We start from the raw sequence: 13,944 nt of genomic DNA on the forward strand, positions 1-13,944 counted from the left end.
TCTTTCATTCTTCACTGATGATGCTAGAGTTATATATGAGATTGTCTTCATACAAATTGTCTTATCCTAGTTTTTTATTTTATTAATAACTGTAATTTTATCAGAATAATTAAAGTTATCTTAACACCTCGATTTCTGTTACTTATTTTGAATTACTAAGTAACAAGTAGAGTATAGAGAAATTGTTTTTAGCTTGAGAGAGTAAAACATTTTAAAACATAGAAATGTATAGCTATTCTTCGTATGTTAAAGGCTGTCTCTTTCCTTCTCTTTTTTTTAGGTTGATATTTCTGGATTTCAGCTTTCTTCTCACACTCAATACAGGACAGCTTTTGAAACCATAATACTGCTTACAAAAGTAGGTTTTCTGTTTTACTGTGTTCTGTATTTGGTCTAATACATAGGAATGTAAGACTATATGAAATAACATAATTACAGTCTATACATACTCCACCTTTAAAGCTTTGATGTCAGTTAAAGAATTACTTAAACTTGTTGTCTCCATTTCCTCTACATTCATTTGCTCCTCAAACTACTGCAGTGGATAAAACACTCCTGGGCTTCCAAATCCCCATTACATACTTCCCAGGTTTTTATCTTGCTTCAGCTTTGGCACATTGTTTAATTCCTCTTGTTTCTCATTCTTAGTTTTGTGACCGGTAATCTTCTGGTTCTATTTCTACTCTTACACTATTTCTCCGTCTACTTTTTAGGCTCTTTTTTCTCATCCTTTAAGTAACATTATTCAGAGTTCTGTCCTAACCTTATTTTCTATCTTACTCACTCCCGTTGCTTTAGTTACAATTAATAATATTGATGACTGCCAGATCTGTAGCTGATACCTAAATCTTTTCATTGTTCTTTCTTTTTTTTTGAGACAGAGTCTTGCTCTGTCTGCCAGGCTGTAGTGCAGTGGCATGATCTCGGCTCTCTCTGTCTCCCGGGCTCAAGTGATTCTCCTGCCTCAGCCTCCCGAGTAGCTGGGATTACAAGCGTGTGCCACCACGCCCGGCTAATTTTTGTATTTTTAGTAGAGACAGGGTTTCACCATGTTGGCCAGGCTGGTCTCAAACACCTGACCACAGGTAATCCACCCACCTTGGCCTCCCAGAGTGTTGGGATTACAGGTGTGGGCCATTGCACCTGGCCTTTGTTGTTCTTTAGACCAGATGCCCATCGGACATCTTCTTTGACTAGATGTCCCATTAGTCACTTAAACTTAATATGGATAAAAGTAAACTTTTAAAAAACTTTTCGGCCATCCCCATAACTTAGTGAATGTGTAAGCTATGATATACTGATTCTTCTCACCACCTACACAAGCCCTGTCAGTTTTTTATCCTAAATCTCTCTGAAATCCATCCTCTTGTCTTTATCTACGCTGTTATAATCATCAGCCCTTCTTATTGGAATATTGAATCTGGTCCTTTCCATTCTCCCTGTGTCCTGCCTTGCTTCTCTCCAGTCCATTTTTTATATGGCAGCTAGAGTGATCTTTGTAAAAGCACCAAGCTGATGCTGATGTTCCCTGCCTAAAACACTTTGATAGACCCCCATAGCTGTTAGGTTAAAGTCTAACCTGAGCATGATTTATGAAATCTGCAAGTTTAGGCCCCTACCTAGCAGTCCTCCTCTGTAACCCTCTCCCCTAGATGCTATATTTCAGCCATGTGATTTCTCTCTAAGACAACATGGTATTGCCTTACCTCCAGGATTTTATAGATCCTATTTCATTTGCCACTTTTTGTCTATAATGAATAATACTGCTGTGAACATTTGTATGCAGGTTTTTGTATAGACATGTTTTCATTTCTCTTGGATGTATACTTAGGAGTGGAATTGCTGGATCAGATAATAATGCTTTGTTTAACATTTTGAGGAACTGCCAAACTATTCTGAATTGGTAGCACCATTGTGCCATTTTACAGTCCCACCATCAATGTATGTTCCAATTTTTCCACATGAATGTCAACACTTGTTATTGTCTGTCGTTTTTACTTTAGTCATCCTAGTGGGAGTGCAGTGGTATTTTGTTATAGTTCTTATTTGCATTTCTCTTAAGACTAATGATGCTAAGAATCTTTTTATGTGCTTATTAGGCATTTCTGTGTCTTTGGAGAAAAGTCTGTTCAGATTCTGTGTGCATTACTATTTGTATTATTTGTCTTTTAATTGTTGAGTTATAAGCATGTTTTGTATTTTTGGAAATAAGTCCCTTCTCTTTTTTTTTTTTTTTTTTTTTTGAGATGGAGTCTCACTCTGTCGCCTGGGCTGGAGTGCGGTGGCACAGTCTCGGCTTAATGCAACCCCCACCTCCCAAGTTCAAGTGATTCTCCAGCCTCAGCCTCCCCAGTAGCTGGGATTACAGGCATGTGCCACCACGCCCATCTAATTTTTGTATTTTTAGTAGAAACAGGGTTTCACCATGTTGGCCAGGCTGGTCTTGAACTCCTGACCTCAGGTGATCCGCCCACCTGGCTTCCCAGAGTGCTGGGATTACAGACGTGAGCCACCATGCCCAGCTGGAAATTAAGTCCCTTCTAAGATACATAATTTGAAAATATTTTCTCCCCTTCTGTGACTTGTCTTTTCACTTTTTCAGTGTATTTTTTCTGTATTCTTTGTGGCACAAAACTATTATTTATTTATTTAATTTTCCAGTTTTATTAAAGTGTAATTGACATAAAAATTGTGTGTACTTAAAGTGTACAAGTGATATTTGGATATATGTTTACCTTGTGAAATGATTGAATCAAGCTAATTAACATGATCCATCATCTTACATACTATTTTATGTGTGTTGAGAATATTTAAAATCTGTTTTAGCAATTTTCAAATATATAATACATTAACTATAGTCATCATACTGTAAAATAGATCTTCAGGGCTTATTCATCCTATTTAATTGAATCTTTGTTCCATTTGACCAACACCCCTCCATCTTCCTCCCCCAAGCACCCTGGCAACCACCATTTTCTCTGCTACTATGAATTCAACCTTTTAAGATTCCACATATAAGTGGGATTATGCAGTATTTTTTTTTCTGTGCTTGGCTTATTTCACTTAGCATAGTGTTCTCCAGGTTCATCCATGTTGTTATAAACGACAAGATTTTCTTTTTTTAAGGCTGAATAATATTCAGTTGTGTGTGTGTATACCACATTTTCGTTATTCATCCATTGATGGACACTGAGGTTGATTCCATGTCTCGGCTATTGTGAATAATGTTTCAGTAAAAATGGGAATGCAGAGATCTCTTTGACATACTGATTTTATTTCCTTTGGATATATACCCAGAAGTGGGATTGCCGGATCATATGGTAGTTCTATTTTTAATTTTTTGAGAAATCTTTATACTGCTTTTTACAATGGCTGTACTAATTTACATTCCCACTCAACGGTGTTCAAGAGTTCCTCTTTCTCCATATCCTTGACAACACTTGTTATCTTTTGTCTTTTTGATAATAGCCATCCTTCCAAGTGTGAGGAGCTATCTCATTGTGGTTTTTCTTTTCATTTCCCTAATGATCAGTGATGTTGAACATTTTTTCATACATATATTGGTCATTTGTTTGTTGTTGAGAAATGTCAATTCAGGTTCTTTATCCATTTTTAAATCAGGTTTATATTACCCAAAGTGATCTACGGATTCAGCACAATCCATATCAAAATTCTAATGGCATTTTTCACAGAAATAGAAAACAAATCTTAAAATTTGTATGGAACATCAAAAGACCCTGAATAGCCAAAGCAATCTTATCTTGAGCAAAAGGAACAAAGCTGGAAGCTTCACACTACCTAATTTCAAAACCTACTACAAAGCTATCATAATCAAAACAGCGTGGTACTGGCATAACAGTAGACACATAAACCAATGGAACAGAATCCAGAGCTCAGAATTAAATCCATGCATTTACAGTTAATTTTCGACAAAGGTACCTAGAACACACAGTAAGGAAAGGACAGTTTTCTTCGTCAATAAGTGATACTGAGAAAACTGAATATCCACATGCAGAGAAATGAAATTAGATCCTTACTTCACACCATATAAAAAATCAGTTCAAAGTTGATTAAAGACTTAAAGCCTGAAACCATAAAACCACTAGAAGAAAACAGAGAAGTTCCATGACATTTGTCTGAGCAATGATTTTTTTTTAATGTGACCCCAAAGCACAGGCAACAAAAAGAAAAATAGACAAGTAGGATTGCATCAAACTAAAAAGCTTCTGCACAGCAAAAGGAACAGTCAGCAGAGTGAAGAGGCAACCAAGGGAATGGGAGAAAATATTTGTAAATCATATATCTGATAAGTGGTTGATATCCAAAACATAAGGAAGCAAAACAACTCTCAATAGCAAGAAAACAACTCAAAATTTTTAATTTTCATGAAATTCCATTTGTTTCATTCTTTTCTTTCCTTTTTTAAAATTAAACTAAAATTTTGTATAGAGATGGGGTCTCGTTATGTTGTCAAGGCTTGTCTTGAACTCCTGGGCCCAAGCAATGCTCCTACCTCAGCCTCCTAAAGTGCTGAGATTACAGGCATGAGCCACCATGCCCAGTCTTACATATTTATTTATTTTTATTACAAACAGGGCTTCGCTCTGTCATGTAGGCTAGAGTGCAGACATGATCCTAGCTCATTGTAGCCTCAAACTCCTGGTGGCCTTAAGCAGTCTTCTGCCTTTTATCTATTATTTTACTTGTGCTTTTCATGTTATATCTAAGAAACAGTTGTTTAATCCAAGGTAACAAAGATTTATTCCTAAGTGCATTTACTTTTTCCAAGAATACTACAGGTATAACATTCAGTGATCATTACTGACTTCTGAATTTTATCTGTGTGAAGTCCAGATACCCATATTTGACTCTAGACGCAAAATTACAACTGTCTCTAGGATATCATTTAAGCTAAAACATACTAACACATGACTTAACCAGAGTCATTTTCTGAAATTCTTCCTTTTGTTTTCTGTTGTTGGGATTTATTGCATTTCGGTGATGTGAATGGGTTTTAGATCACCTGGGTCATTAATTACCAAATAAGTAGTTTATACAGAAACCAGTACTAAAATTATTGGGTTTTCTCTTTTGATTTAAAGGAGTTGGAATTGTACAAAGAGGAACTTCAGACAAAACCTGCACTCTTGGCAGTTAATAAAATGGACTTGCCAGATGCCCAAGATAAGTTCCATGAATTGATGAGCCAGCTCCAGAATCCTAAAGGTAAACCTATTTATTCATTTAATTCTAATTTAAAGAATAATTACAATGTACAGAGAATGCTGTTATAATCAGTGGAAAACTGACAGTTTCTGCTCTTAAAAGTCAAGTTTGAAGAAAGAATATACAAAACATGTAAATAACATTGTAACATAATAATTACCAAATTCTAGAATGTTTGATATGGACAGTAAATTAAAGGAGACAAAAGAAAGATTAATTTGAACTAAAAAGGTCAGGCTACATGAAGAATAAAACTTAAATTGGGCCCATAAGGCATATGTGGGATTTGAATAAAAGGAGGAAAAAGTCAGCATCTACCTGTGAAGTCTTTCACTTTCATTAACATACTTCACAAGCTCTTCATTCGTCTAGTACTGTACATCATAAAATTAAAGACAGAACTAAGAAGTTCTAAAGAAGTATGTTTCTTGGCAAAAGTAACTCTATAGGTTTCTGAAGAGGATGAGTCTTCTGAAAAGAACTTCATTTTTCCTGTGTATGTGTGACACAATAATAGAAGCTGTGACTCCAAAATGATTTATTTGTCTGGAATTTACTTCCTGGACTATATGTAAAGTAACTTAAAGGGATTCTCCACAGTTTTGAATATTGACATTTGCAGAACACCTTCTATCCTATGGCAATGGTGGTTTCATTCAGAGTCTAGTAGAGAACCTCATGCACAAATGAGGAAAAGTAGGGTGTATGGTATGTGGCTAACATGTTTTTCAATATGTCTCTGTTTTTATTCTTGGTAACAATTGTTGGAAAATAGATTATAGGTACTAAGACTGTCAAACAGCACCAGAAGGTCCTTTCCTCTCAAAAATCTTTCCCCTGTGTAATCTACATGTTGGAGCTGTCCTTGAGTTAATAAATTACTCATGGGATATAAATATTCTCTGATACTAAATAGCCTTCATTCCTAATGACATTTGCTTTGTATGGTCATTAGTTCTTTTTGCTAGTTGATCTTGCAGAGAAGGGAATTTTCAGAGGAAATACCGAAAGTGAGGGTGACTCAGGAGTCTGTAGCTGTTCTGACCTATCGTGAAATAAAATATAGGCCCTTTAGTGATAATCCTGAGTTATCCTCTCTGGACTTTCTTCGGGGCTTTTGAATCTCAGAAAGTAAGCTCCATGTTGTCTTCTCCACCAATCTGTTTCAGTCCAGCCTTTCTAGTTCATATCAGTTAATCCATCTAATCAGTATGCCATCTCCCCAGCCAATCAGTATGCCATGGTGACAGGGAAGAGGTAAAAGTAATATAACAATTGTTAGCCCTTGTGGGGTGATAGATTGGACTCATCTGAAATTATCTTCCCTTGAATTCTCTATAATCCCTCTTCAGTTTTTGTATGGATCCTAGCATCATTGATGATAAACCTATACTTTGGGGAAGTTAAAGGTCTCCAGTGTACTGAGGCCAAGTAGAATGTCTCAAATCATAAATGATGTTATTATTTTTACAGAAAGTATCTTTCAGAGAATCAATGCTGCCTTGCCTTATTTAACCCCCCCCACACACACAAAATTTATTACTTCCTTAAGTAAGTCATTTTTGTGATTCATCTTCTACTCATACTTAGTTTGGTTTAAAATATATTTATCTAACAAGTATGTTATGTGCCAAGAACCTTACCATAATCAATGGTAAAATCCAAAGGCTCTGAGAACTTATTAGAAAAGGTGAAAAAAGGCATGAAAAATGCTGGTGTTGGTTCCCTGCTTCACAAATCAAACCATTAACATGGTTTTAACTAACTTTCGAAAACAATGGAAATCAGCTTTGTTTGTGCTCTTTCTTTTAGATTTTCTGCATTTATTTGAAAAAAACATGATTCCAGAGAGGACTGTAGAGTTCCAACATATCATCCCCATATCTGCAGTTACTGGAGAAGGAATCGAAGAATTAAAGAATTGTATAAGAAAGTCACTGGATGAACAGGCCAACCAGGAAAATGATGCACTTCATAAGAAACAGTTGCTTAATTTGTGGATTTCTGATACAATGTCTTCTACTGAGCCACCATCAAAGCATGCTGTTACTACTTCCAAAATGGATATAATTTAAATATATTAAAAATGGTATTGATGGAACAGTATTTAATGCTTAAAAACAAGGAAATCCTTTCATCTGTGACAACCTGGAGGACATGTTAAGTAAAATAAGCCAGGCTTAGAAAGACAAATGCTGCATAATCTCACTGTGGAATCTTAAGTTGAACTCATAGAAGGAGAGAATAGAATGGTGGTTATCAAGGGCTGGTGGGGCAGTGGAGGATTGAGGAGATATTGGTCAAAATTTACAAAATTTCAGTTAGACAAGGCAACTGAGTTCAAGAGATCTGTTGTACAGCTTGGTGACTGTAATTAACAACAATGTATTTTGAAAGTCACTGAGTAAATTTTAAGTGGTTTTTCCAAAAAAGCACATAAGGTAATGCACGTTAATTAGCTATATTGAGCCATTCCACAATGTATAGATATTTCAAAACATGTTACACATGATAAATCCAGTTTTTCTACGTCATTTTTTAAAATTATATTTAATTTTTTTATTTTGAAAGTTTTTTCACAGATCTTTTTTTTAGTATTATTACCTTCTGATATATGTGTCATTATTGAAGAACCATACCTTTTAAAGTTATTATTTTGTAATTAAGTATGTCAACAGTAAAAAATAACCAGTGGCCAGGCATGGTGGCTCATGCCTGTAATCCCAGCACTTTTCGGAGGCCGAGGAGGGCAGATCACTTGAGGTCAGGAGTTCAAGACCAGCCTGGCCAACATGGCGAAACCCCGTCTCTACTAAAAATATAAAAAATTAGCCAGGCATAGTGGCGCATGCCTGTTGTAGCCCCAGCTACTCAAGAGGCTGAGGCAGGAGAATTGCTTGAACGCGGGAGGTGGAGGATACAATGAACCCGAGGTCGCGCCACTGCACTTCAGCCTGGGTGACAGAGCTAGACTCCATCTCAAAAAAAAAAAAGAGCTAAAAAATTACATTTTACAAGTTTATGGCCAGCCCACCTGTAATAACATTCTCTGATATTCCTTTACTTAGGATGTCCCTATTGAGATCATTTTTTAAATTTATGTGGAAGGATTCTCTAGATTATTATTAGAATGAGCAATTCAGTTTTGTTTGTTTTTGAGCCTGTCTTGTACCTGGTTGCACTAAATATATAATAGTTATCTTTTGTGGAGACCTTAAAACCCTAAATTTGAATACATGTTCAATGATAGTAAAGATATGACAGAAACTAGAAGATAGCTGTTTATGATTTGAGCTTTTGGAAAATTTTCGTTTCTTGAATGTAATAGTATTTTTTCCTGAATTGGAGGAGACTGATCTATATTGTTTCATTTTTCTTTTGTCCTAGTCTATTTCACTTTCTTTTGTCATAATCTATTTAATTTCCCACTTTCTTATTTTAGTAAAGAGAGAATAAATAGCAAGTGCAGGCCAGGCATGGTGGTGCAGGCCAGACATAGCGGTACATGCCTGTAATCCTAGCACTTTGGGATGCCAAGGCGGGAGGATTGCTTGAGCCCAGGAGTTCATGCCTGAGCAACATAGCAAGACCCTGGCTCTCTATAAAACAGAAAACGCAAACTTTAATATTATCAACAATCAATATATTATAAGAGATTGCAATTTCTAAGTTTCTACCTGAGTGTTTCACAAATACAAACTGGACATTTTCCCTTTAAATGAGTTTTATTATAAAATGTACATATTGATTGTAAAAACAAAAAATTCAAATAGTACAAAAGCATATAAGTAACTAATAAAAGCTCCCTTTCTGCATTAGGCCCCTCAGTTCTTCCCAGGGAAAATGATTAATAGTTTACATTCTTGCAGAAATTTTTTATGTATAAATTTTTACCCAAATGAATTCATTATATAAATTTTTTCCAACTTAGTGTTTTTTTACATAATAGTAGCAAGTTAAAAAATTGTACTTCAGGCCAGGCACGGTGGGTCACGCCTGTTAATCTCAGCACTTTGGGAGGCTGAGGCAGGAAGACCACTTGAGGTCAGGAGTTCAAGACCAGCCTGGCCAACATGGTGAAAACCCATCTCTACTAAAATACAAAAATCAGCTGGGCATGGTGGCGCATGTCTGTAATCCCAGCTACTCGGGAGGCTGAGGCAGGAGAATCGCTTGAACCCGGGAGGCGGAGGTTGCAGTGAGCTGAGATTGCGCCATTGCACTCCAGCCTGGAGGACAAGAGGGAGACTTCCTCTCAAAAAACAAAATATTGTACTTCAAAAAATTATTCTTCAATGCTATTTTTAAATTACTAGAAATTATTTTGGAATTTAATGTTGCATACAGCCTGAGATATGGCTGTTCACCCTTTGGTAAAGTATTAAAGAAAAATAATGCATTGTTCTCAGCTTAAATTTTTTTCTGATTTGACAACATGAGTGATGTTTTCCCAGTATTATTTCAATTATATTTGTTTTATTTTCTGTTCCTCACTCCTACCTCTCATTCCAGTCCCCAAACTGGCTTTTCTTTTATTTCTTTTTTCTTCATTGCTGATGTATTTATTGAGCAATGTCCTGTATCAGGCACTGTCCAAGGTGCTGTATGTGCCATGTTGAAGAGAACAGACAGGACCTACTGTCCTTGTATATCTTGCCTTTGATAACAGAAACTGCAGGGGATTGGAATAGCCTCTTTACAAGAAAAGAATAAGAGTGAGGAAAAGCGTTTGGAATTTATAGTGATCACAGTGACCAGGTTTTGTATTGGGTATGTTTTACATTTGTAACTTCAGTGCTATTTTTTTTTAAGCTCCATTGTTTTCTAAATGTAAACAAGTATCAATGTAAGGACAGTTTCATCAGGTGAATATCAGAAGTACTGACACCATAATCTCATTTTGCACTGTGGCAAAGGGTAGTAGATGTGTGTTCAGGATTATTTGCTCTGTCAGTAGTGCCCAGGGTGCCACTCCATGACTAACCGAAACATTTTATTATGTGACTCACTAAGATGTTCAATTCATTAGTATTTTCTGGTTACTCAAAGTGTACTCTATGTACCTTTTTTTGACCTTTGATTTTTATTCTGATGGAGAAGATCAGATTCCTTTTTTATCTTATAAAAAATAATTTTGAAACAAAGACTTATTTTGAAGTAAGTCTTTTAACATTATCTCAGATGCATTTTATTTTGTCCTTAAGTAAGACTTTTCATTTTTACCTTTCAAAATGCAATTTTCAAAATATATGCTTTTTTGAAACACTTATTATGTTACTGAATAACCAGAGTATTAAATTCAATGTACAGCAAATTTTTACAAAGTCCCAGTAGTTCTTGCAGAGCTTTCTATAATATCAGATTTATTTACCATCATGAAATATGTTTATACAGTATTAAGTATATTGTACTATGAAGTTGGACCTGCACACTGAAAAATTCCAAAATACCTATTATGTTGTGCTTTTTGTGATATATATTCATATTATTATTTGTCATAACAAGGTGAACTTTTTTAAAATGGTAAACATGTATTAGTTACATAATCAGGAAAAAAGTCATCTTTTATAATGAGAAAAATTAGGTCAAGGATATTTCAGGTTTTATCCAATTAGATTTCTTGTAAAGTTATGTGTTTTCTTTTATCTCAGTGCTTATTTGCTTTGCAAGGATGAAGGTTAGAGATTCCTTTCAGTAGTTAATGAAAGCTACAGACTTGTCTTGCCGAAAAATGTACATAAACACATAAACTATTTTCCAAGCAGTTTCACAGTGTTTGCAAAGTTCAGATTGAAAACCCAGTTTTACAAATCCCATCTACAAATTTGCATTGTCATTAAGATATATTAAAAATAATTTTTCAAAGCAACAGCACAGATGCACTTTAAAACTGTAGCTTAAAAATAAAAATTAGTAATATAACTTGTGTAAACCTACACAAAAGATAAAAGATATCTTATTGCAAAAATAGGGCAACATTTTGTTTTAAAGACCAAATAGTGAATTGAATTTAATGCATATCTTTAAATCCTTAATAGTATCTCAAATCTGGTTTAAATCTGTCTCTCCTTAACGGAATAGAAAGTGAAACAAATCCAGAAATCTTGTTCGAGTACATGGTCTGTGCTAGTAATCATATCTAAAGTGGTAATGTTACCATATGCTGGGTACTGGGCTGAGTAAATCACATATTTTAACTTATTTAAACACTGCACTGTATTGCCTGCTAGCGATGTCATTTTTTTAAAGTTGGATGGTGAATACATGAGTTGTTTTTTAAACTCTTTTGGGAGCCTAAAAAATTTGAATTTTTTTTTTTCCCCCCCCAGACGGAGTCTCGCTCTCTTGCCAGGCTGGAGTGCAGTGACATTATCTTGGCTCACTGCAGCCTCTGATTCCCTGGTTCAAGCAATTCTCCTGCCTCAGCCTCCCGAGTAGCTGGGATTACAGGCATCCACCACCACGTCCAGCTAATTTTTGTATTTTTAGTAGAGACGGGGTTTCACCATGTTGGCCAGGATGGGAAAATTTTTTAAAAGACATTTATTAAAAAAAAATGTCTATGCCTTATCAAAGTTTATAACTCAAGAATTAATGAGATAAACAGTGGACAAAAAGTGTTGGCAGATAACATGCATAATTTTAATTAAAAGTTAAGCAGTGAAAAATAAACATCTTTTTTTCTTAAAGAGATATTTCATATCTGTTCTATTTGTTTAGTTTTATTTATTCTTTTTAGAGACAGGGTCTCTCTGTGGAGTGCAGTGGCATGATTATAGCCCTCTGCGGCCTCAATCTTCAGGGCTTAAGTTATCCTCCTGCCTCATCCTCCCAAGTAGCTAGGACTACAAGTGTGTGCCACCATACCTGGCTAATTTTTAAAAACTATTTTGTAGAGACAGGGTCTTACTATGTTGCCCAGAGTGGTCTTGAACTCCCATCCTCATGGAATCCTCCCACTTCAGTCTCTGAAAGTGCTAGGATTATAGGCATGAGCCATTTATGCCCAGCCAGTTTTCTTTTTTCTAATTGAAGCTTGGCAAGCAGAGGGAAATGTATTAGGGAAATAGCTTTAGTTTTGAGTGGGTGTCAGTAGCCAGCTGAAGAAAAAGCAAAATGAAATAGGTAGTAGAAATGAGAAAGGGAGAGAGGGAAGAAGAAAAAAATGGATGTTGGAAAGTTGTTGCATGTCTCTCTGGATAGCTCAGAAGTATCAGTTGTGGTTATTGCCTCACTTGGCTTTTGTAAGCATGAAAAAGCCAGGGACAATTTCAACTACCATTTCTGACCATCATCAACCACAAATTTTAGGCAATTTGTTAGAATTTTTTTTAAATGTTCTTAATAGTTGTTGGGTACCTGGGAGATTTCAGAGAAAGTAATCACCTTTGTATATATTATTAATGTGTTTATAATAGAAATTAAATTCTTTGGGATGTACAGGTAAGATAAGCTATGTGAAGCATAGCTGTTATCCAAGTCGTGTGCCTTTGAAATACTTGGAATTTGAAGAACAGGACATGCAGCTTATGTTATAATTAATTTGCGAGCAATATATGGCATGATAGTATTTTCTTATCTAAATTCTGAGTGCATTGAAAGTTTAAAGCAAAGGACAAAAGCTTCCTTTGTTCATGGCCCATATTCCAGTATATTTTTCTGAAACTGCCAATATTTTCTGATCGGTACTTTCATTTTTCTAGTTGGTTACCAAATACTGTTATTGGTATTATTTCTATATAAAAGGCTTTAAGAAGACTATAGTATAATTTTCTTAAGAAAAAAGACATGATTATAAGCTAAAATATGCCTTCGGTTTTGTGTGCTACAAATTGAGGGAGATTGAGAATATTTTAAATCAAGGGCAGACATTGAGTAAAAGCTTATGACTTTGGATGGATTTGAAACATGATTAAATGACAGAGTAAATAAAAGCCCCTAGTCAAGTGAATTCTAATGGGGGAAATAAGAGGACTATATAAAAATTGAACCTCTGTTTTGAAAACAAATCTTTCCAGGAAGTGGTACCACTCTGGGGTCAAGAGAAATTGTAAGAACAATAAAATGAGCACACATGACCTTCCTTTCCTATAAAAATATGAAGCAGAAAACTCCCCCATGATTTCCTCATGTTGCTTAGAATAGTGTGTATTTCAGAACTTTTCCATTTAATATTTTTGGACCACAGTTGACTGAAACTGAGGATGGGAGGAAGGGATGCTTAAAACCTTGGATAGTACCAAACCCTATATATATTATGTTTTTTTCTATATATACACAGCTATGATAAAGTTCATAAATTAGGCACAGTAAGAGATTAAAAATATTAAATTGGGCCAATTAATATATTGTAATAAAAGCTATGTTAATGTGGTCTCCCTCTCGAAATATCTTTACTGATTATATGAGATGATAAAATGCCTACATGATAAGATCATGTGAGGTGAATGACGTAGGCATTGTAACGTACCTGGTGTTAGGCTACTGCTGACCTTCTGTCAATACCTCAGGAGAATATTTTGCTTTGATGATCCTGGATCATTGAGCCATGTTGTTAGGAGCAGGTGATATCTATCCATGGTGAATGGGAGGGTAGCATATACAACGTGGATACGCCAGATAAAGAGTTGAGTCACCTCCTGGCAGGATGGAATGAGATTTCCTCATGTTATTTAGAATAGTGTGTATTTCTGAACTTTTCCATTTAATATTTTTGGA

The 13,944-nt window shown here is 35.4% G+C and overlaps 1 protein-coding gene across 2 annotated transcripts in view; it reads left to right on the plus strand.

The window, feature by feature from the left end:
* Nucleotides 1-13,600, plus strand: part of GTPBP10 (GTP binding protein 10) — a 44,738-nt gene extending 31,138 nt beyond the window's left edge. For both annotated transcript variants that reach the window (NM_033107.4, NM_001042717.3), the window contains 3 exons: nucleotides 281-358; nucleotides 5,103-5,226; nucleotides 7,039-13,600. In NM_033107.4, coding sequence (NP_149098.2) covers nucleotides 281-358; nucleotides 5,103-5,226; nucleotides 7,039-7,301 — 465 coding nt within the window. In that variant the 3' untranslated portion in view covers nucleotides 7,302-13,600. The remainder of the gene's footprint in view (nucleotides 1-280; nucleotides 359-5,102; nucleotides 5,227-7,038) is intronic.
* The last annotated feature ends 344 nt before the right edge of the window (nucleotides 13,601-13,944 follow it).

This window comes from Homo sapiens, chromosome 7 (genome assembly GCF_000001405.40).
Source record: "Homo sapiens chromosome 7, GRCh38.p14 Primary Assembly".
Lineage (NCBI taxonomy): Eukaryota > Metazoa > Chordata > Mammalia > Primates > Hominidae > Homo > Homo sapiens.